The sequence below is a fragment of the Homo sapiens genome, chromosome 14 (genome assembly GCF_000001405.40).
Source record: "Homo sapiens chromosome 14, GRCh38.p14 Primary Assembly".
Lineage (NCBI taxonomy): Eukaryota > Metazoa > Chordata > Mammalia > Primates > Hominidae > Homo > Homo sapiens.
The window spans coordinates 76,705,307-76,728,463 of record NC_000014.9 but is presented as its reverse complement, the minus strand read 5'-3'; the positions used below and the strand labels follow the sequence as shown (position 1 = coordinate 76,728,463).

The 23,157-nt window shown below is 46.0% G+C and overlaps 1 long non-coding RNA gene across 3 annotated transcripts, besides 1 other annotated feature; it reads left to right on the top strand.

The window, feature by feature from the left end:
- The first annotated feature begins 1,752 nt into the window (after positions 1-1,752).
- Positions 1,753-18,034, top strand: LOC105370577 (uncharacterized). Of its 3 annotated transcripts, XR_001750834.2 has the most exons (3): positions 9,464-9,878; positions 16,603-16,781; positions 17,649-18,034. It is a non-coding gene; the product is annotated as an uncharacterized LOC105370577 (long non-coding RNA). The 3 variants fall into 3 exon arrangements; XR_007064273.1 differs by lacking the exons at positions 9,464-9,878; positions 16,603-16,781 and adding an exon at positions 1,753-1,945; XR_007064272.1 differs by lacking the exon at positions 9,464-9,878 and having other exon boundaries at positions 16,467-16,781.
- Positions 7,805-7,964: an enhancer, noted in NCBI's record as "active region_8771". NCBI's record gives its function as "activates an Ori minimal core promoter by ATAC-STARR-seq in GM12878 lymphoblastoid cells {active_cell/tissue: GM12878}" and the evidence as "EXISTENCE:reporter gene assay evidence [ECO:0000049][PMID:35858748]".
- Positions 18,035-23,157: the final 5,123 nt, after the last annotated feature.

Genomic DNA, 23,157 nt, shown 5'->3' with positions numbered 1-23,157 from the left:
GGCATGGGGGCCTTCATAAAGAATTGAAGACCCAAAGACACAGCTAGAGTCGAACACTTACATACTGAATTAGACAGAATAGTAGAATTGTGAAAAAGTAACTAAATTCAGTGGGGAGGCTAAAAAAGGTAAGTTATTTTAACAAGGTCTGTACAGAATTCTCTCCACTAAAGCTTCCATTCTTGATAATAAGACTGTTACTTTCCTTGTAGTATAGGGAAAGTATACTTTCCCTATACTGTGGGAAAGAAAGCATCTTTCACATGGCAGTTTCATCTCCTGCTTTTAAGAAACAGAAGGAATGTCAGAATGATCTTCTTGCACCTGCTGTTTTTCAAATGCCTTTAACTCAAAATAGTCAATATGCCAGGGCAGCATATTTTGGGGAAGGCATGTTCTTATCTCCTTCAGTGGGAATGAGACAGTTGGAAACATTGTATGATTTGGAGAGGAAGCCCTGCATTTTCAGAGGCCTTTGTTTTGGGTGTGCCTTAACTGCACCTGCATTTCTTGCCGTTTCTTACAAAGAAACTTCCTTTTGAGAATCAAAATATTTCAGCTGAAGTTATTTTCAACCACAGGGAAATGTTTGAAATGTCAGCCTTTGTTAGCCCAAAGAATATTGTTTCATGAACAGTGATCGAAATAGTCATTTCCTTTGGGAAGCCTCTGCCATTGAAACAAACTTTGATTTTGGAAGCAAAATTTTGGCTTTAAAGATGTCATCCAAGTGTTACAACTTTTTCTAATAGCTCCCTGGCCATGTATTGTAGAGCTATGATAGGTTGTTTGGGTTTGAACAAGAAAACATGTTCTGGCTAGGTTGGGCAGTGTTAAGAGGAGGGACAGTATAGTGGTGGGGAGCAAATCCCTTACAGCCGGGCTGCCTGGATTTGCAATCCTCGTCATGCCACTGCAAGCTGACTCTTCGGCAAGTTATGTAACTGTTCTGGTCTCAGTTCCTGCATCTATAAAATAGGGGTGATGGTAGTATTTACTGCCTATGATTGTTATAATTATTAATTAGTGTATTAAAAAGCACTTAGAGGCTAGCACAGAGGCTAGGCGTTATAATTATTAATTAGTGTATTAAAAAGCACTTAGAGGCTAGCACAGAGGCTAGGCATGGTGGCTCATGCCTGTAATCCCAAAACTTTGGGAGGTGAAGGCAGGAGAATTGCTTGAGGTCAGGAATTTGAGACCAGCCTGGGCAACATGGTGAGACTAAGTCTCTACAAAAAATACAAAACTTAGCCAGATATGGTGCTGCACACCTGTAATCCCAGCTACTCAGGAGGCTAAGGTGGGAGGATCGTTTGAACCCGGGAGGATAAGGCTGCAGTGAGTCGTAATTGTGCCGCTGCACGCCAGCCTGGATAACAGAGTAAGACCGTGTCTCAAAACAAAACAACAACAACAACAAAACAACAAAAAAACAAAAAAAAGCACTTAGAGATGGCTAAATGCTAATCCAATAAGGGCTGTAGTTTAGTTAATAGTATTGCATTCATGTACATTTCCTGGTTAGATACAGGAGTGCTGGGAAGGGAAGGGTGTAGTTCTTTTAAATGATAGGGAAGGGAGAAGGGAAGTGCTGGGTAGAGGAGGGCGTGGTCTCTGGCTAGGGCTCCACCCCCACCGACCTAGGTGAGGACAGGAATTTACTGCCCAAATGTTGCATTTTCCAAGACCACCCTGGCCTGCCATGCCCCCATCCTGTGCCTATAAAAACCCGAGACCCTAGCAAGGCAGAAACAGCAGCAGCTGGAAGTCAAGAGGAGTGCTCTGTGGAGGAACACACCCACAGGCACCAGCATGCCGGCAGGCCACTGACTGGCAAAACAACGCGGTGTTTGGCTGGGGCAGTCGGAGGAGCGCTCGGGCCGCCAAGCAGACCGACTCCAGGGAAAACCATCTCCCTTCTGGCTCCCCCATCTGCTAAGAGGTACTTCCACTCAGTAAAACCTTCCGCTCATTCTCCAAGCCCACATATGATCCGATTCTTTGGTGCACCAAGGCAAGAACCTGGGGATATAGAAAGCCCTCTGTCCTTGCAATAAGGCAGGGGTCTAATTGAGCTGACTAAAACAAGCCACCTATAGCCGGCCAAACTAAAAGCAAAACTAAAAGAGCACACTGGGCTAGGTGCGGTGGCTCACGCCTGTAATCCCAGCACTTTGGGAGGCCTCATGAGGTCAGGAGTTTCAGACCAGCCTGGCCAAGATGGTGAAACCCCGTCTCTACTAAAAATACAAAAATTAGCCGGGCGCGGTGGCGGGCGCCTGTAATCCCAGCTACTCGGGAGGCTGAGGCAGAAAATTGCTTAAACCCGGGAGGCGGAGGTTGCAGTGAGCCAAGATCACACCGCTGCACTCCAGCCTGGGCAACAAAGCGAGACTCGGTCTCAAAACACACACATACACACACACACACACACACACACACACACAGTAACACGCCCACTAGGGCTTCAGCTGTAAACATTCACCCCTAGACACTGCCATGGGGTCGGAGGCCCATAGCGTGCCTGTCTGTATGCTCCCCTACAGGTTTGAGCAGCAGGGCACTGAAAAAGCAAGCCACATCCCCATCGCACGCCCTGCAAGGGGGACAAGGGAACTTTTCCCATTTCAGTTGTGATGATTGTACTATGAATATGCAGGATGTTACCATTGGAGGAAGCTGGATTAAGGGTACACGGGAACTATATAGTATATCTATGTGCACTTCTACATGAGTCTAAAATTATTTTAAAAATACAAAGTTAAAAAGTACTTAGGGAAACTATATTTGGTAGTATGATTCTTTGAGTAAGGTTTGTCTTTGACAGGAGACTGTGGACTGTAAACTCTCTGAAGTTAAGGACTATTACTGTTTTCCCCAGCACCTAGTACAGTGCATGGCACATAGTTGGTCTTCAATAACTATTTGCTGACTGAAAATGAATAAAGAAGATACTAAGGGTACCGGCCAGCAGAACTTTAAGCAACAAAAGAGAGACAAACCAGTTCCTGCATTAAGGTGGGAGGAAAGAGGTGAGAGGGCCATGCACCAATATTTGGTAAGACCTTCAAAACACATGCACACACACATGCATGCCCGCAAACACATGTACACACACAACATGCACCTGCCCCTGTGCAAATTAGGGAGTGGTTTGAGTGCCACGGATGGGTCAATGGTATGTGTGCCAACAGCAACAACAGCAGGATGGCAAGGTGATTCCTAAAGTGATGTGATTCTGCAGATGCAGCTCAGAGCCAGTGGTGAGCACAAGAATTTGGGATGAATCCATGTTATCTGGATTTTGGGTGGCTTGGTGAACCCAGCTGACAGTTTTAGTAAATAAACCTAGACGATCTTTTTCTGTACTCAAATGTTAAATGTAAGGACAATTGTTTAAACATCGTTCTAGTCTAAGGAAAGCTAGAATGCTACCTAGTTTGCTAGAATATACCCAGAAACAGGGGAAGAGGGTTGATATGGTTTGGCTGTGTCCCCCGCCAAATCTCATCTTAAATTGTAGTTCCCATAATCCCCACGTGTCATGAGAGGGACTTGGTGGGAGATAATTGAATCATGGGGGAACTTATCCTCATGCTGTTCTCGTGATAGTGAGTTCTTACAAGAGCTGATTTATAAGGGGCTTTCCCCCTTTTTGCTTGGCACTTCTTCCTGCCACCATTTGAAGAAAGATGTGTTTGCTTCCCCTTCCATTGTCATTGTAAGTTTCCTGAGGACTCCCCAGCCATCTGAACTGTGAGTCAATTAAACCTCTTTCCTATATAAATTACCCAGTCTGGGGTATGTCTTTATTAGTAGCGAGAGAACGGACTAACACAGGGTCAAATTCAAGAATTAAGCTATGCTGCTGGTAATATCAGGGTCACACCACATATGTGATAAGCCTATCAGAACATCACAGGGTTTAAACTGATACTACCATTTATGATTTGGAAAGGTTCTAGAAATTAAGAGATGCTTTGCTGCATTTGTAACTCTAAGAAATACAAAAGGTTTGGGTGTGAATTAGGTTTCTCTATTATATACAGGGTGTTAAATCAGACTTTGCAAACAATCCTAGGCAAAACTTACAAGGTCTGAAAGCATTTCCCAGAAGCTATTCACAATGCCTGACTTAAATACTCTGTATATAAAATTATAATGTAAAACTGTTGTTCCAATTTTTTTTCATAAAAGCCAAATACTTAAAACTCGATGTTTTATTTCAATATCTATCATATCATTGGGCAGGTTAGGATATGTAACAAATATTCTAAGCTCCTAAGAATGGATGGAACTATGTCACCTGTCTGTGTCTTAGCTGCCCAGGTAGAAACTTGGTTCTTTAAAGCTGTAGGGGAAGAAAATCTTTACCTCAACCATCTTAGGGTTACTGGTTGGGACTGATAATTAAGATGACATAGGCAGATGAACAGGAGAAAAGCACACAGGTTTTGACATGTACATGGGATCCCCCAAAGGAAAATGAAGATCTAAAGAACTGGCAAAACCTAAGTGCTTATATACTAGGTTGAACAAAGAGAGGCAATTGTGGAAGAGTAACTAAAATATACATGAGGACTAAAAGAACGTAAGAATTATTTTAACAAGGTCTGTATGTACAGATTTCTCTTGGTCTCAACTTCCTATCTCTGATGATAAGAATGTTTCTTTCCTCCTGGTATAGGGAGGGGACCTTTCACATGGGAGATTTATCTCCTGTTTTTAGGAAGAAAAGGGGAGGTCAGAGCACCCCTTTTGCAAGTGCCTTTAGTTCAAAATAATCAAGGCAAGTGGCATATTTTGGGGATGGCATATTCTGCCACCCTTCAAAGCCATGGACTGTGTGTATGACTGTGGATCTATTTTTCATGTTCTCCATCCCCTTCCTATATACCATGTTGTTTTGCAAATAGTTGATGCACAGTGAATTTTGGTAGATTTTTAAAAGCTCTTCACTGTACTCTATTAGCACAGATAGTCTTACTATTCAGTTGCATTTCTAAATGCTGTTAGTGCAACTATTACAAATGCAATATGTGTTCATTGCAACAAGTGGAAAAAGTACAGAAAAGTGTAAGGAAAATAAAAATCCATCATGATTCCACTGTATACCAATAATCACTGCTGACAGTTTCACATATACCAGACTCAGATGTTTTTGTGCATGAGTGGATTTATATAGTACACAGTTGATAACCTGTTTTTTTTTCTGAGTATTGTCTATAGAATTCCCATCATTAAGTATATATCAACATCACCATCTTTACTGACTTCATAGTATTCCATTTATGTATGTGCTGTAATTTCAATCCCTATTGCTAAATATTTAGGGTATGTCCACATTTTCTCTACTATATGCTGCAATTCAGCAAATATCTCTGAACATACATTCTTGGGAAAAGTTCTCAAGAGTGAAATTGCTGTTACTTTCAGTTTAAAATTTGATTATACTCCAAGTTGTTTGATTTTTAAGGATGTTGAACACCTGTACATATGTCTAGTTTCCCTACTTTGAATATAAGCTTCTAGAATAGAAGGAAGAAATCAAATCTTGGAAGTCTCTGTATCCTCTACAAGTCCTAGCACAGCTCTGGGTGTTGGAAATGCTTTTGACTGCAAATCATGGAACACCTGTGCAAGAGTAGCTTAAATCAAAAAGCCACTTAATCATCGCCCATAATTAAGAAGCCTGGGTGTAGACAGTTCAGGGGTTCGTGCAGCAGCTCAGCGAGGTCCTTCCACCCTTTTGGCTTTAGCACACTTCCTGCCCTGCCTGAGCGCCAGCACATTGTCTTCACTCGGCACGCCCAACCCAATCTAGAAACAAGGAGGTGGGCAAAGGAGCTCTCCTCTTGCCCCTCTTTTTTTTTTTTTTTTTTTTTTTTTGAGACAGAGTCTTGCCCTGTCGCCCAGGCTGAAGTGCAGTGGTGTGATCTCAGCTCACTGCAACCTCTGCCTCCCAGGTTCAAGCGATTCTCCTGCCTCAACCTCCTGAGTAGCTGGGATTACAGGCACGCGCCACCACGCCTGGGTAATTTTTTGTATTTTTAGTACAGACGGGATTTTGCCATGTTGCCCAGGCTGGTCTTGAACTCCTGAGCTCAGGCAATCCGCCCACCTTGGCCTCCCAAAGTACTAGGATTACAGGCGTGAGCCACTGTGCCTGGACTTGCCCCTCTGTTTTTATCAGAGAGGAAAAGATTTTCTAAAAACAACCCAGGAGAATTTTTTTTGTATCTTATTGACTAGGCTACTTCTAGCGCAGAAGAGGCTGGGAAGGTATCTTTGGCCTTTCATCCCCTATGATGAAAGGCAAGCTCATGGGAAGGAGTCAGGGAAAGACTGTTGCGTTGGCCACCAACAAAAATGGGGCCCAGTGATAGGACTGAACATATTCCCAGAGTTGGCATGTAGATCATCTCCTGCCCCCACTCCTCTTCATCTCTCAGGGAAGAAAACGAGTTTTTATGGTGTCACCAGCCATGGGATCTCTGGGGACCCAGTGTCACCAATTCTGCCTCCCTCCTTAGCGTTTTGGTGGGGCTTTCCTGTTCTTGTGGGTGTCCTCCAGGGGAGACTGGTCCTACAGGGGGCCCAGGGCTGTGGGAGGTGCCGTCAGGGCATCTCAGCAACTGAGAGAGACTTGGGCCACACCCGTTTTTCAAGCTCCCTATAAATTAAAAATACAGGAGAAGAACCCTAACAGCATTATAAAGTTTGCAGTTTGGCCCGGCCCGGTGCCTCATACCTGTAATCGAGCACTTTGGGAGGCCAAGGTGGGCGGATCACCTGAGGTCAAGAGTTTGAGACTAGCCTGGCCAACATGGTGAGACCTCGTCTCTACTAAAAATACAAAAATTAGCTGGGTAGGGTGGCAGGCGCCTGTAATCCCAGCTACTCGGGAGGCTGAGGCGGAAGAATCGCTTGAACCCTGGAGTCAGAGGTTGCAGTGAGCTGAGATCTTGCCACTGCACTCCAGCCTGGGCAACAGAGCAAAAACTCCATCTCAAAAATAAATAAATTAATTAAATAAAGTTGGCAATATATTTTAAATGTTTGCCACTAACAGATTCATTCCTTAATACAAAGAAAACACTGCAATAAAATTGGACACCATGGCCTTTAAATTTATGAAAAATACTGACTCAGTGTAGTGTAGCTGGTGTGACCCAGGATGGGGACAAGTTCAAAATTGAAGGTTGAGCAATCTTTTTTTTGGCAACGGAATCTCACTCTATTGCTCAGGCCGGAGTGCAGTGATGCAATCTCCACTCACTGCAGCCTCTGTCTCCTGGGTTCAAGTGATTCTCCTTCCTCAGCCTCCCGAGTAGCTAGGACTACAGGCGCTTGCCACCCCGCCTGGCTAATTTTTGTATTTTTAGTAGAGACAGGGTTTCACCATGTTAGCCAGGTGGGTCTCGAACTCCTGACCTCAAATGATCCACCCACCTCGGCCTCCCAAAGTGTTAGGATTACAGGTGTGAGCCACTGTGCCTAGCAGGCAGTCTTCTTACAATGCAGGTGTTTTGTTTGGAGGTCTTTGCAAATCTAAATTTGAGGTGCTTCATGAATCGAATATATTTTGTATTTTTAGTAGAGACAGGGTTTTGCCATGTTGCCCAGGATGGTCACAGCAAACAGTGCTCCTGGGCCCCCTGTGATAGGCCCCAGGGCAAGAGTTAAGGCCCAAAAGGACTGAGGCCTCAGGTGCCGCAATTTCAGAATTAGTTACTCATTTCCTTCCTCTCCTCCGGTCTGATTTTCCCTTCCCCACCAGCCTCCTGCGCTCCTCTCACTTCCCTTTCTCCCCTCCTAAATTCTCCATCCTCTTTTCTGACCTCTTCCTGCCCTCCCCTTCCTCCCTTCCTTCCCTCCTTTGAAAGTCTGGTCCTCTAGAGCTGTGGAAAAGACTGGAATCTGAGCCCTGGCCTGCAGCCAGCAGGGAGCCAGGAGGAGCAGCTGCAAGGTCAGACCAGGGTCACATCAGCTGCTGAGAGAGAGAGGAAGTGAGGCTGCCTGGGCTTCCTGGCCCTCAGGGACAGGCTTACTCCACATGGCCCCTCTCTGCACCCCTGTTCCTGCTGAAAGGTGCCAGGATATGCCACCCCAAAACATACCACTTTGGCATAAGGATTATTTTGAGCTAAAGGCACTTGAAAAACAGCAGATGCAAGAAGGGCATTCTAATCTAGTTTCTTCCTGAAAACAGGAGATACGGACTTTCATTTGAAAGATGCCCTCCCTGTACCAGGAGAAAAGAAACATTCTTTGAGTTACTCAGAAGACACTCTTTGTTTGCTGGGAAGATTGTGGCTTATTTTAAAAGCAAAAGCAGCATCCCTCACCCAGCATCACTTTGCTCAGGGCTGCCTTTTGTTAAGGAGCTCCTTAAAACCAAACTCAGGAGGCATTTTCTTTTTTCTCCTATGACCAGAGTGTGTTGGCAAACAGGCTGCTCCATGCCTAGTGTGGCCACTCCCAGCGCACTGGTCGGGAATGGGAGGGAGGAGACTCTGTCCCCTTGACCCAGTTTTGGGGCGAAATCCAAGAGCCTCCTTGGCTCTGTGCGTCTGCCTCTTTGAGTGTCTGCAGCACCAGCTCTCCACTGGTTGTTTTAGAGTTTCAGGGTCTTAATGATGTCGAGACCGTAATGGTGCCAGGGCATTGGTGCTGGTTATTGGTTCCACAGGTCACTCCTGGGCTGGCCCTCAGTCTTGTCCACATGGCTCTGGGGAGGTATGGGGGTCACTCTGCCGCTTCATGTCACAGAGCCCTCCATGCCCCGTCGAGTCCTGTCCACGCAGGCCTTCTCTCTTGGGTTGCTCCTCCTGAGACCCATCCCTTCTCTGTTCTCATCCTCTCCCCTCCAACACCAGCCCAGGAAAAACCTTTCCTACATTTTGGGTCCTTACCTGTAATCTCCTCTGTTCTTCCCAAATGTTTAGACTTTAGGGATTGGAAGCTGGGAGTTCTTAGACTGCTATCGACTTTCTTTCCTTCCACCACTTTCTTCAGTAAAGGAGCACAGAGCCCAGGATCTGCTTTAAAGGGGCGGAAGGAAAAACGGGGCAAGAATCTCGAAAACGTGGCCCCACTTCTGAGTGCTCGTCACCTGGCACAATACCTGGTACACAGCAAACAATTGTTAAACCAAAAAAAAAAAAAAAAAAGCTGGGCACAGTGGCTCATGCCTGTAATCCCAGCACTTTGGGAGGCCGAGACGGGTGGATCACCTGAGGTCAGGAGTTCGAGACCAGCTTGACCAACATAGAGAAACCCTGTCTCTACTAAAAATACAAAATTAGCTGGGTGTGGTGGCACATGCTTATAATCTCAGCTACTCAGGAGGCTGAGGCAAGAGAATCACTTGAACCCAGGAGGTGGAGGTTGCAGTGAGCGGAGATCATGCCATTGCACTCCAGCCTGGGCAACAAGAGTGAAACTCCATCTCAAAAAAAAAAAAAAAAAAAAAAAAAAAGAAAAGAAAAGAGAAACATGGCAGCAAGAGAATGAATAAATGCAGGCCACCTGGCTCAGAGCCGCAGGACTTGAATTCAGATCCCAGCCCCCTGGCTGACCTCCCTGTGTAAGTTCTACTGACCTAATCCATAAAGGAGGGGAGGGATGAGTTCATCGCTGGGATTCCTTCCAGCCCCCAAACTCAATATTTTGTATCCACATAGGAAAAAGAAAGAATATTTATGCAGTCGTCCCACTGAACTGGAGCAGGGAAGAAACCTGCCTGGATGATTCAGGCTCACATACACAATCATCTCCAAATATGCTTCCCTTCTGTCAAATGCCATCTCCTAAATATCACCAGAGCAACCTGCGGAGAAGGCAAGGCTGAGTTGATTGTTCACCGTGGTAAGGTAGAGTACCCCCTCCACAAAGCCTCAGTAGCTTCCCAAAGTGGGAGGGCAAAGTGATTTTTATTGAGACTTTGAGGCCTGGTTTAAGGTGGCTCTTTCAGTGCAGAGGTGGCATGCTTGATGGGGGTTGCTAAGATCATGATTGGTAGACACAGCAAAGTGAGGATTTCTGGCTGAGGCGTTCAAAGAACCTTGGGGTATAAACTGTCTTCCTATTGAACCTATAAACTGATGCTTCCTGTTGAAGACATGGTGTGTCCTTCAGGAAGTTCCTGGGATGAACAGTAGAGTTATTTACAGCTTTTATCTTCCTGGGCAAGCATTTTCTGGAATAATAGTGAAGTTACTTTGATGAGGACAGTGGAATAGTAAAGTCATGTTAATATAGACAGTGAGCTATGAGTGGTTTGATTCTCATCCCAAGCTGTCTTGGTTCGCTGTTTGAATGACTGTGATGTCCCCTCCACCAAGAAGGCTGACGCCTATGAACATGTGTACTCCCTTTCCCTCTTGGTCCAGCTGGATTTGGCCCATGAAGGCAGGGAGCAGAGTGAGGCTGGAATATTCATTTCTGTTCTCTTTCTGCTGGTATTACCCAGCAAGCAATGGGCTCACTGCCTGATGCACACACAAGCCAATACCATGGCACTGAAAACCTTTATTGGGAATTGACTGGCAAGACAGGAGGCAAGGCTGAAATCTATGTCGCCTAGCTGGTGGGCTGGGGCAGGTTTTATAGGCGAAGGGTAATGAACCATGATCTGATTGGATCTTGCAATGAGGTGATGCTGGGGAGGCATGATCTGACTGGATCCTGCCACGGGGTGACACTAGAGCTCAATCTGATTGGATCCTGGATCCTGCCATGTGCAGTCCACCTCTGAAAGCAGTCCTTGCTCCCGGCTTCCAGCACTTAGGTTCCACTTGTGGTTGCACACTTGGTTCATCTGGGCATGTTCAGGTTACTTGACTTTCAACTTGGGGATCCATGGCAACCAAAAAACAACTCACGACTTTGTTACATAAAAGTTGAACCAGGGCTGGGCACGGTGGCTCACGCCTGTAATCCCAGCTCTTTGGGAGGCCGAGGTGAGCAGATCACGAAGTCAGGAGATCGAGACCATCCTGGCTAACACGGTGAAACCCCGTCTCTATTAAAAGTAAAAAAAATTAGCCAGGTGTGGTGGCAGGTGCCTGTAGTCCCAGCTACTCAGGAGGCTGAGGCAGGAGAATGGTGTGAACCTGGGAGGCGGTGCTTGCAGTGAGCCAAGATTGCGCCACTGCACTCTAGCCTGGGCAACAGAGCGAGACTCTGTCTCAAAAAAAAAAAGAGTTGAACCAGATTGGTCTGGTGTGATTACACTGGGTTGCCCTGGGTTGGTTGCCTCCGCCTGTTTCAGCCCTCAGCTCCTATCACCAGCCTTCTCAATAGCTTCTCTCTTGAGTTGGGGTAACTGCTCCCCGACTTGCCCTTTTATGCCTAAGGGAGCCTAGCTCCTAGTATCCCATGTGGCTCTTTCTCTCATTTCTTATTCCCAATGAGCATGTGTTGCTTTCCTAAAGGCATTTCCATAACATTATACTTTTAAAGTCAACTGTGTGTGAGTATAAATGCTATTGGACATCAGGGGAGAACTCGGAAAAAAAAAATGTTCATTTTTATTGATAAACTTTTTAACTAAGGCAATTTTCAAAGAAAGCTAAAATCATGACATTCCTACAAACATAAAATGGACATGTTAAAATTGTATTTAGTGCATCATTAATGAAGGCTGGTAAGATGTGACAACCGGTTCAAATGAGAAGTCAAAAGAGGCACAAATTTATATGGAGAAAAGCAATGTTGAAGTGTATTTACGAATAGAAGGAAATATATTTACGAATAGAAGGAAACATATTTCAAATAGAAGGAAACTGGCTTTCCTTTGGAAAATAGGAAGTAAATTGAACCACCTCGGGACAGAATGTATTTGCATGCCTGCAAACAGGAATTATTTACATTGCTATCAGTTATCTACAATTTACAGATTTGAAAAATAGCTCAAAGGCAATGAATGGCCCAGAGACCCTAAAGCATCGCACTCAGATAACCTGGAAGGGTATGCTCTAAAGGATACACAGTTTCCCAATGAAGCACACATTTTTTCCTACGTGACATTTATTAAGCAGTTAATACTTGCAGGCAGTGATCCAATCCATGGGGACTGATAGTCTGCTTGGAGATTTAAGACACAAAAGAGCTGAGCCGTCTCCCTCCAGCAGTCTGATTAGTGGAGTGTTTATTATACTTCCTCTCAGTGACATAAAGATACTCCAAATTGAGTTCCATCATCAAGCTTTCCTCTTGAGAAAAACAAAAGTTTCCACTGCTTTCAAAAGTTTGAAAGCCACCAACCCATGTCCAGCAGGTTCATTTTATAGAAGAGAAAATGAAGGCTCAGAGAGGAAATGTGGTCTGCCCTGGGGCGCGCAGCTTGTTAACTCATGTCTGGTCGGAAGATGGGCTTTCAGGGCCGAGAAGGTGCTCCTTTTTGGCATTATTAGGTGACAGAAAGAGCTCCTGGAAGGGAGGATTTAGGAAGCAGGCTGTGACAGATGGTTTTCATCTCCTGTGCTCTGGGAAATCGCTACCACCCTCTAATTGGATGTTGGGAGCTTCAAGCAAACTGGCAATCTACATTGTATCATTGTTCCGTATCCCTAATTATCCCTTGGGATTTGGCTTAAGTGCAGCTTAGAGGATGTTCATTAATAGTGTCGACAGGGACACTCAGCATTTGTAAAATTCTTTACAATAATTGAAGACCTAGCATTGTTCTGGTGTGGTAAGGAAGCATGTTTGCTCCCAGCCGAAAGATGACTTAAGCTAAGAGGGTGGAGACTGGCTGACTTGGGAGTTGTTTTTCTAACGTCCAGGTCTGAACTCACAGTTCTACAATCCTTGTTTTCACCGGCTCAAGGAAGCTCCTTGATGAATTACATGAGTTCAGCTTACTAATGGGCTTACTTCACCAGAGTCAGAGTGATCTGTCCTTGGCATTTCATAACCCACTTCAGTTTCCTATCTCTTGGCCACCGTATTGTCAAAAACCTCATATTCCTGTGGCCATGACCAGTTCCAAAAGAAGCTTTGTCTCCACAGACAGATCGTGGTTCCATCTGGGCCTACCACCAAAAGCCTTGTGATTCCAGATGGAAAAATCCCCACACCCCCCCCCGTTTCCAAAGCAGCCCCCCATCTCGATTGTTTTATCTACAGTCAGCAGCACGAATCCTCCACAATCAGAGTCTCTCCGGGGGTGGAAAGAGTGGCTAATGGGGGATACAGCTCATCTTCAAACCCTGTGCCATGTGAATGGAAAAAAAAAATGCACACATCTGGCTGGGTTAGATAAAGAGGAGGGCTGGGGCAAAGAAGCCGGGAGTGGTGGTGGGGGCTTCCCTCTATCAAAGAAAACATTAAGAAAAAGGCTGCTTTTATTGCAGAGGAAAATTAAAACTTTACATTGTGACTGGAGCTGTTCAACCATCTACATTTGGCTGGGCACGATGGCTCACGCCTGTAATCCCAGCACTTTGGGAGGTCGAGGCGGACGGATCACCTGAGGTCAGGAGTTTGAGACCAACCTGGCCAACATGGTGCAACCCCATCTCTACTAAAAGTCCAAAAATTAGCTGGTCATGGTGGCAGGCGCCTGTAATCCCAGCTACTCAGGAGGCTGAGGCAGGAGAATCGCTTGAACCCGGGAAGTGGAGGTTGCAGTAGCCAAGATCGTGCCATTGCACTCCAGCCTGGGCAACAAGAGCGAGACTGTCTCAAAAAAAAAAAAAAAAAAATCTACATTTTTGTTGTTGTTGTTTTCAAAAGATATCCTTGAGGAACCCCAAGTATTTGGCTGGAATCCTTTGGTGACAGCCAGTTTCCTTCCAGGAGGTTGGAACAGAGCTGCATGTGTGTACATGTGTTTGGGGGGATACAAGGAATTGAGTGGTTTTCTTTCAATCATAGCCTCACCCTCCTGCCATTTGAGGAAGACGGAGGGAGAAGGACAGGATGGGAGGAGATAATTTCTGAAAAAAATTTTTTTTTTTTTTTGAGTTTCACTCTTGTTGCCCAGGCTGGAGTGCAATGGCGTGATCTTGGCTCACTGGAACCTCTGCCTCCCGGGTTCAAGCGATTCTCCTGCCTCAGCCTCCCAAGTAGCTGGAATTACAGGTGTGCACCACCACGCCTGGCTAATTTTTGTATTATTAGTAGAGACGGAGTTTCACCATGTTGGCCAGGCTGGTCTTGAACTTCTGACCTCAGGTGATCCACCCACCTCAGCCTCCCAAAGTGCTGGGATTACAGGCGTGAGCCACCATGCCTGGCCTGATGATTTCTGAATTTGAGGAATGAAATTTCAGCTGCCAAAGAGCACCTGGAGATGTGTTTCCTCCTCCCACACCCTCTTTCTCTCCCCACAGCCCCTACTTACCCCAGTCCCCAGAACCGCCTCCCCTGGAGGCATCTGGGACATCATTCTCACTACTCATTTCCTCCTTCCTCAGCTACAGGGGAGGCCAGCTTTCTGGTCTTCTGTTGCCCATATTGGACTTTATTTGGTGCTCCAAAGGGAGGTAGAAATTGCAAAGGACTCCCCTGCCCTTGCATATTCTGTAGATTCCCATCGCATGCTTCAAATAAGCCGTGTCCATTCTTCCCCCAGAGCCTTGCCTCTGTACCACCCCAGCTTCCCCCACTTCCTTTTTGCTGAGAACTTTCTCTGTATTCATGAAAGTTCTCCCTAATAGCCTGAATAAAATAATCTCCTTAATTATCCGGGGCATTTCTTTCACCCTGTACTGCCCACACCAGGAGTCTGAAATAGAACCATAAGCACCTTCAGCGTTAAGACAGGGAATTACCTTAAGTGGTTTCAGGAAAGATGTGAGCAGGAGCTACTTAATGGGGTGAAGGTGAGGCTGCCTTGAAGATGAACCCTCCTTTTGGGCAGTGTTTCACTTCAAAACCTCAGAAGCGGTGACCCTAAGGAGATTTTTATTAACACACCTACGAAGCAAACATAAACCCCCCTCTGTGTGCGTGTGTGCACGGATGTGTGCTGGGGGGCAGTGCAGGAGAGGAGGGGGTGCTGGAGAATCTCCAGGTGAAGGGGGATGCAGTTTTGTTCCCATTACAAAGACCCCTTGTCAGCCCGCTGGCCAGGCTGAAAGCGCCGGCCACTTCCCATTCAATGCCAGCTCTCCTAAGTGGGCCGGGTGGCTGTGGCCTCGGTTAGGGCGGTTGTATATTTGCACAGATCTGCCATTTGTCATGTTCCCAGAGGTCTTCAGGACAATGACTTTTGTGGGGGTATGCTGGAGGAAGGTAGCTTTTCAAAATTGGGAACCTTTTCGGCTTGCTAAACGGAAAAGGACAATGGCCTCTTTGTCCCTAGTGTAAGACAGCTGTGGGGAGCCCTAGGAACCCACCAATGGTAACTTTAAAATGCTGCCTTAAAGGTATTGAACAAGTCTGGGTGTGATGGCTCATGCCTGTAATCCCAGCACTTTGGGAGCCCGAGGCGGGAGGATCACTTTAGCCCAGGAGTTCAAGATCAGCCTGGGCAACATGGTGAGACCCCATCTCTACAAAAAATATAAAAAGTAGCCAGGTGTGGTGGTGCACACCGTAATCCCAGCTACTCAGGAGGCTGAGGTGGGAGGATCACTTGAGACTAGGAGGTTGAAGCTGCAGTGAGCTGGTGATTGCACCAGTGTACTCCAGCCTGGGTGACAGAGAGACACCCTGTCTCAAAAAAAAAAAAAAAAAGAGAAAATAAAATTAAAAAAAAAAGATAACAAAATAATAATAGCCACTAGTTTAAAGAAAAACACTACCCATAATTGTGACATTGAAATACAGTATAGTAACTGATTAATGTTTCCATTTTTATATATTAGGTTCCAATCTCACATTTTACAATTGGGGTAGTGCCAATTTATGTCTTTTCACTTAACATTATGCCATATAATCATTTTCTTTTCTTTTCTTTTCTTTTTTTTTTGAGGCAGAGTTTCGCTTTCGTTGCCCAGGCTGGAGTGCAATGGCTTGATCTCGGCTCACCGCAACCTGCACCACCACGCCTGGCTACTTTTTATATTTTTTGTAGAGATGGGGTCTCACCATGTTGCCCAGGCTGATCTTGAACTCCTGGGCTAAAGTGATCCTCCCGCCTCGGGCTCCCAAAGTGCTGGGATTACAGGCATGAGCCATCACACCCGGACTTGTTCAATACCTTTAAGGCAGCATTTTAAATTTACCATTGGTGGGTTCCTAGGGCTCCCCCCAGCTCTCTTACACTAGGGACAAAGAGGCCATTGTCCTTTTCTGTTCAGCCTCCTGGGTTCAAGTGATTCTCTTGCCTCAGCCTCCCGAGTAGCTGGGATTACAAGCATGGGCCACCACGCCCGGCTAATTTTTTTGTATTTTTAGTGGAGATGGGGTTTCTCCACGTTGGTCAGGCTGGTCTCGAATTCCCGACCTCAAGTGATTCACCCACCTTGGCCTCCCAAAGTGCTGAGATTACAAGCATGAGCCACCGTGCCCGGCCCCTAATCATTTTCTTATAATACTATAATATCTAATTCTATTGGGTCAATGGAGCATATTTATTATGGTTGAACCTTTCCTCTGGTGTTAGACATTGTCTTTTAGTCTCTTTTTTCTTTGCTATTGTAGATAATGCTGAAATTAACATCTTTGGATATACAATTCTCTGCTTCTGAAGAATGAAAAGATAAATAACAGAGCTAAGAAAGGGACTGATGAAACTTACAACAGCAGGTCTCAAATTTTTGGTCTCAGGACCCCTTTATGCTCTTAAAAATGATTGACAGCCTCCAAGAGCTTTTGTTCATGTGAGACATTTTTATATTTGCCTTGCTATATTAGAAATTATAGCTGGGAAAATTCAAATATTTATTAATACATGTAACAATAACTGTAAAAATCCATTGCATGTTAACATAAATTACACATTTTTACCAACAATAGCTATATTTTCTAAAACAAAGACATTTGCAGAGTGGTGTTGTTTTATATTTTTGCAAATCTTTTAAATGTTTGGTCTACAGATTCTCATATCTCCTTCATTCCATCTCTTGTGATTTTTTTTTTTTTGAGATGGAGTCTTGCTTTGTCACCCAGGCTAGAGTGCGATGGCGCAATCTCGGCTCACTGCAACCTCTGCCCCCCGGATTCAAGCGATTCTCCTGCCTCAGCCTCCTGAGTAGCTGGGATTACAGGCGCCTGCCACCAAGCCCAGCTACTTTTTGTATTTTTAGTAGAGACAAGGTTTCACTGTATTGGTCAGGCTAGTCTCGAACTCCTGATCTCAGGTGATCCTCCCACCTCAGCCTCCCAAACTGCTGGGATTACAGGTGTGAGCCACCACGCCTCGCTGACATGTTGTTTTAACTGAAGTCTATGAAAAAAACCTGTCCTTGAATAGATACATAATCGGAGAAGGGAGAGGGTACGCTTAGGGGTCCGACCACACTTTGAGAACCCATGTCCTGCAACATTCCTCGTGCTCTACAGGACACTTCTCTTGTATTACTTTTTGCACTTACAGATTTAGATGATAGAGTGAATCCAACGTCCCCTTTTTTTGAAATCAAGGTCCCAAGAAGCAAGTCCCTTGGCTAAAGTCACCCAGCTGGTTGTAGGGACTCCACTTTACTTCCTTACAACCAACTCGGATGTCTCATTTGTCCTTTTACCAGGCTTTGGTAAGGCTGTGAGAGCACAGAGCTGAATTAGGGATCTTGGACTTCAAGTTACTGACTAGCCCCAGCACTCGCCAAGCTCACAAAGAAGACAGAAACGAGGTAAACATCCAACCATGTTTATGGAAGAGTTCATCTCTCTGTCAGCATTACGTACATGCAGAAAGGTGTAAAAAATCATAACAGCGCTGTTTGCATTTTTCAGAAACGGAACACACCTATATTATGTCTCTTTTTAAGGAGGTTTTTGGGTGGCTTTTGTTTAGAGGCAGAGTAGAATAATAGAAAAACAACCTGGGGTTTACCTTTAGGACTCTCTCTCTCTCTCTTCTGTAAATGTAAGGTTCGGCAAAAAAATTCATTAAACTTTTGTCCACCTTTAACATTCTATGAGTTTTAATGTGTTTGGAAGCTTTGGAAGATTGGATTGCTAGAGTACTGGTCAGGATCATTTCTGTATTTAATAAAATTGGGAGAGCTAGCGAATAAAGCAGGAAGCCTGCCATCTAGTGGCAAATGTGTACATTGCTCTTTTGCTTGGACTCGGGCTGAGTTTTCAGAACCAGAGTCCTTTTCTTCTGGCCCCCACCTTCCTTAATTACAGGGGTTTTAATTGCGCCACAGTTAGACAATACTTAATTGTCTTAGCTACATTGTAATGAGTGAAGGGAATACACTTGTGATTTGGCTGAACGCAGGAGAGAGAGGCCCCTTGCATTCATAGTTAATTGCTTCAAAACTCTGCCTGCGGCTTTGCCATGCCCTCATTCGCACTTTGGGCTAAAATTATAAGGATCCATTAGATACTGTCTCTGCCTCCAGACTTCAGGCTGCAGGGAGGGGGACGCCAGCTGGAGTTTTTTTCTGACAGCTTATTTATTTATTTTTCAGATGGAGTCTCACTCTGTCGCACAGGCTGGAGTGCGACCCTGCAACCTCCGCTCACTGCAACCTCCACCTCCCGGGTTCAAGCGATTCTCCTGCCTCAGCCTCCCGAGTAGCTGGGACTACAGGCGTGCGCCATCACGCCCAGCTAATTTTTGTATTTTTAGTAGAGATGGGGTTTCGCGATGTTGGCCAGGCTGGTCTTGAGCTCCTGACCTCAGGTGATCTGCCCACCTCGGCCTCCCAAAGTGCAGGGATTACAGGCGTGAGCCACCGCACCAAGGGGGATTGGTGGAGCTCTCCCTGCAGCCCACTGATTCTTGGGTGTTTACTGGTGAGATGGGCAGAGGCTCTGGACATGGAGTGGGGCAGGGAGGGGAAGCAGCATCGTGGGCTGGGCTTCGATGGAAGAAGTGGCAGGGTGGCCGGGCACAGTGGCTCACGCCTGTAATCCCAGCGCTTTGGGAGGCCAAGGTGGGCAGATCACCTGAGGTCAGGAGTTCGAGACCAGCCTGGCCAACATGGTGAAACCTTGTCTCTACTAAAAATACAAAAACTAGCCAGACATGGTGGCATGCGCCTGTAGTCCCAGCTACTTGGGAGGCTGTGGCAGGAAAATTGCTTGAACCCAGGAGATGGAGGTTGCAGTGAGTTGAGATCGTGCCACTGCACTCCAGTCTGGGCGACAGAGCAAGACTCCATCTCAAAAAAAAAAAAAAAAAAGAAGAAAAAAAGCAGTGGCAGGGTGGTCTGGAGGCACCGCTGGAGGCGAGTGTGTACGGCGACAGGGGAACCAATGTGGCATTCTGAGGGCTCTTCAAAGTCGCATCCCTTTCATGGTTCCCCACCCAGAGCCTCGTGGTGGTGAATCAGGGAGAGAGAAAAATATCAATAGACAGTCTAGTCCTGGCTGGCAAAGTGTACGGGAAACTGCACAACATGACAGAGGCTTTGGCAGGGGACGCATAAGAGTGGTAGCACCCAGCCTTGAGCCAAGTGGTAGCACCCAACCTTGAGCCCAGGAACCAGTGTACAATGTTATGTGCCCAGGCAAAACTCCTTCTTGAAAAACAAGAATAAAAGGCACCTACAGCTTAGGGGAATAAAATAGAAATTGGTGGATTATAAAATATAAAAGGCTGATAATTACTGGTTTGTTAACTGATTATTAATTTAAAATAATTGGCTGGGCACTGTGGTTCATGCCTGTAATCCTAGCACTTTCGGAGGCCAAAGTGGGTAGATCACCTGAGGCCAGGAGTTCATGACCAGCTTGGCCAACTTGGTGAAACCCCGTCTGTACTAAAAATACAAAAAAATTAGCCAGGCGTGGTGGCATGTGCCTGTAATCCCAGCTACTCAGGAGGCTGAGGCAGGAGAATCACTTGAACCCAGGAGGCAGAGCGCTTGTGAGCCAAGATCGCACCACTGCACTCCAGCCTGGGCAACAGAGCGAGACTTGGTCTCAAATAAAATAGAATAAAAAGTAATTATCGAACATTTCCCAGAGGCCAGGCCCTGTGCTGGGTGCTGGGGCTAAAGGTGGTAGGAACACAGTCCCTACCCTGGTGGAATTTACAGTCTAGCGATGAAGACATTGAACAAGTAATTATACAGCCGTGCATTGCATAGCAATGTTTTGGTCAACCACAGCCTGCAGATACAACAGTGGTCTCATAAGATTGCAGTGGAGCTGAATTACATAGCCTAGTGAGGTCATAGCTGTGGCAACGTCATAGCTCAATGCATTACTCACAGGTTTGCGGTCATGCTGATGTAAACTAACCTACTGCGCTGCCAGGCTTATAAACGTCTAGCACATACAATTACATACAGTGCATAATATACTTAATAACAAATGACTATATGACTCCTTTGTGTATTTACTATACTATACTTTTCATTGTCATTTTAGAATGTATTTCTTCTACTTACAAAATAAAAAAGTTAACTGTAAAATGGCCTTAGGCAGGTCCTTCAGGAGGTATTCCAGAAGTCACTGTTATCATAGGAGGACAGCTCCATGTGTGTTATTGCCCCTGAAGACAGTGGGACAAGATGTGGAGGTAGAAGACAGTGATACTGGTGATCCTGACCCTAACGTGTGTAATGTGTGTGTTCGTGTCTTCATTCTAAGAAAACGTTTTGTACAGATGTACAGTGTGTTTGAGTTTAAGCTAAGTGTTATTTCAAGAGTCAAAAAGTTAAAAAAATAAAAAAAGTTTATATGGTAAAAAAAGTTACAGTAAGCTGGGTTGATTATTTTGAGATAGAGTTTCGCTCTTTTGCCCAGGCTGAAGTGAAGTGGTGTGATCTCGGCTCACTGCAACCTCCGCCCCCGGGTTCAAGTGATTCTCCTGCCTCAGCCTCCCAGGTAGCTGGGATTATAGGCATCTGCCACCATGCCTGGCTAATTTTTGTATTTTTAGTAGAGATGGGGTTTCACCATGTTGGCCAGGCTGGTCTCGAACTCCTGACCTCAGGTGATCCCCCCGCTTCAGCCTCCCAAAGTGCTAGGATTACAGGCGTGAGCCACCGCGCCTGGCAGAGGTTAATTTATTATTGAAGAAAGAAAAATGTTTCTAAAAACAGATTTAGTGTAGCCTAAGTGTACGGTGCTTATGAAGTTTTCAGGAGTCATGTCTTAGGCCTTCGCATTCACCCACCACTCACTCACAGACTCACCCAGAGCAACTTCCAGGCCCGCAAGCTCCCTTTGAGAGGTGACAACGGTACTAGCAGCCCTCACTCGCTCTCGGTGCCTCCTCAGCCTCGGGGCGCTTGAGGAGCCCGTCACTCACCGTTGCACTGTGGGAGCCCCTCTTTGGGCTTGGCTGAGGCCGGAGCCGGCACCCTTTGCTTGCCAGGAGGTGTGGAGGGAGAGGCGTGGGGGGGGGAACCGGGGCTGCATGCGGCGCTGGCGGGCCAGCCCGAGTTCCGGGTAGGCGTGGGCTTGGAGGGCCCTGCACTGGGAGCGGCCGGCTGGTGCCGCCTGCGCGGGGCAGTGAGGGGCTTAGCACCAGGGCTAGCAGCTGCGGAGGGTGCGCTGCGTTCCCCAGCAGTGCCGGCTTGCCGGCACCGCGCTCAAATTCTCACTGGGCCTCAGCTGATTCACTAGGTGAAACCAGCTGGGCTCCTGAGTCTAGTGGGGACTTGAAGAATCTTTATGTCTAGCTAAGGGATTGTAAATACACAAATTAGCACTCTGTATCTAGCTCAAGGTTTGTAAACACACCAATCAGCACCTTGTGTCTAGCTCAGGGTTTATGAATGCACCAATCAGGCGCTGTGTCTAGCTAATCTTGGGACTTGGAGAATCTTTATGTCTAGCTAAGGGATTGTGAATGCACCAATCAGCACTCAGTATCTAGCTCAGGGTTTGTAAATACACCAATGGACACTCTGTATCTAGCTAATCTATTGGAGACGTGGAGAACTTTTCTGTCTAGCTCAGGGATGGTAAACCCACCAATCAGCACCCTGTCAAAATGGACCAATCAGCTGTCTGTAAAACAGACTAATCAGCTCTCTGTAAAATGGACCAATCAGCAGGATGTGGGTGGGCCAGATAAGAGAATAAAAGCAGGCTGCCTGAGGCAGCAGTGGCAACTGGCTCTGCTCGCTTTTCATTCTGTGGGAGCTTTGTTCTTTTGCTTTTTGCAATAAATCTTGCTACTGCTTAGTTTTTGGGTTCACACTGCATTTGTGAGCTATAACACTCACCGTAAAGGTCTGCAGCTTCTCTCCTGAAGCCAGGGAGACCACTAACCCACCAGCAGGAAAGAACAACTCCGGACCCGCCGCCTTAAGAGCTGTTAACACTCACCGCGAAGGTCTGCAGCTTCACTCCTGAGCCAACGAGACCATGATCCCACCAGAAGAAAGAAACTCTGAACACATCTGAACATCAGAAGGAACAAACTCCGGACACGCCGCCTGTAAGAACTCTTAACACTCACCGCGAGGGTCCGCGGCTTCATTCTTGAAGTCAGTGAGACCAAGAACCCACCAATTCCGGACATACCTTCATAGTAAGTGCCCTATACAGATGAACCATTTTTTCTCTTTTATACTGTTTTTATTGTACTTGTCCTATGTTTAGATATGTTTAGATACACAAATGCCTACAGTATTCAGTACAGTAACATGCTGCACAGGTTTGCAGCCTAGGAGCAAAAGGACCGTATAGCCGAGGTGTGTTGTAGGCACTAGGTTTGTGTAAGTGCACTCCATGATGCTCACACGATGACAAAATTGCTTAACGTATTTCTCAGAACATGAAGTGATACATGACTATGTCATATACACATCAAGTGATACATGACTATGTCATACACATCAAGTGATACATGACTATGTCATATACATCTAGGGAGTCAGTGACACTGGTGATCCATGTGAGTTAGCAGGGAAGATGTGTGTGTGTGTGTACCCATCCACATATGGTTGGGTGTTCCAGGCAGAAATAAAAGCAGGTGCATAGTGCTGAGACAGCAGGAGCAGGGTGTATCCAGGGAACGAAAGAGGACCAGTTAGTTCTTCTGAGAGGGAGGGAGAGCGGATGAGATGAAGCTGGAGGGTCAGGAAGGGGCCAGTTCACAGCGTTGTATAACCTGCATCC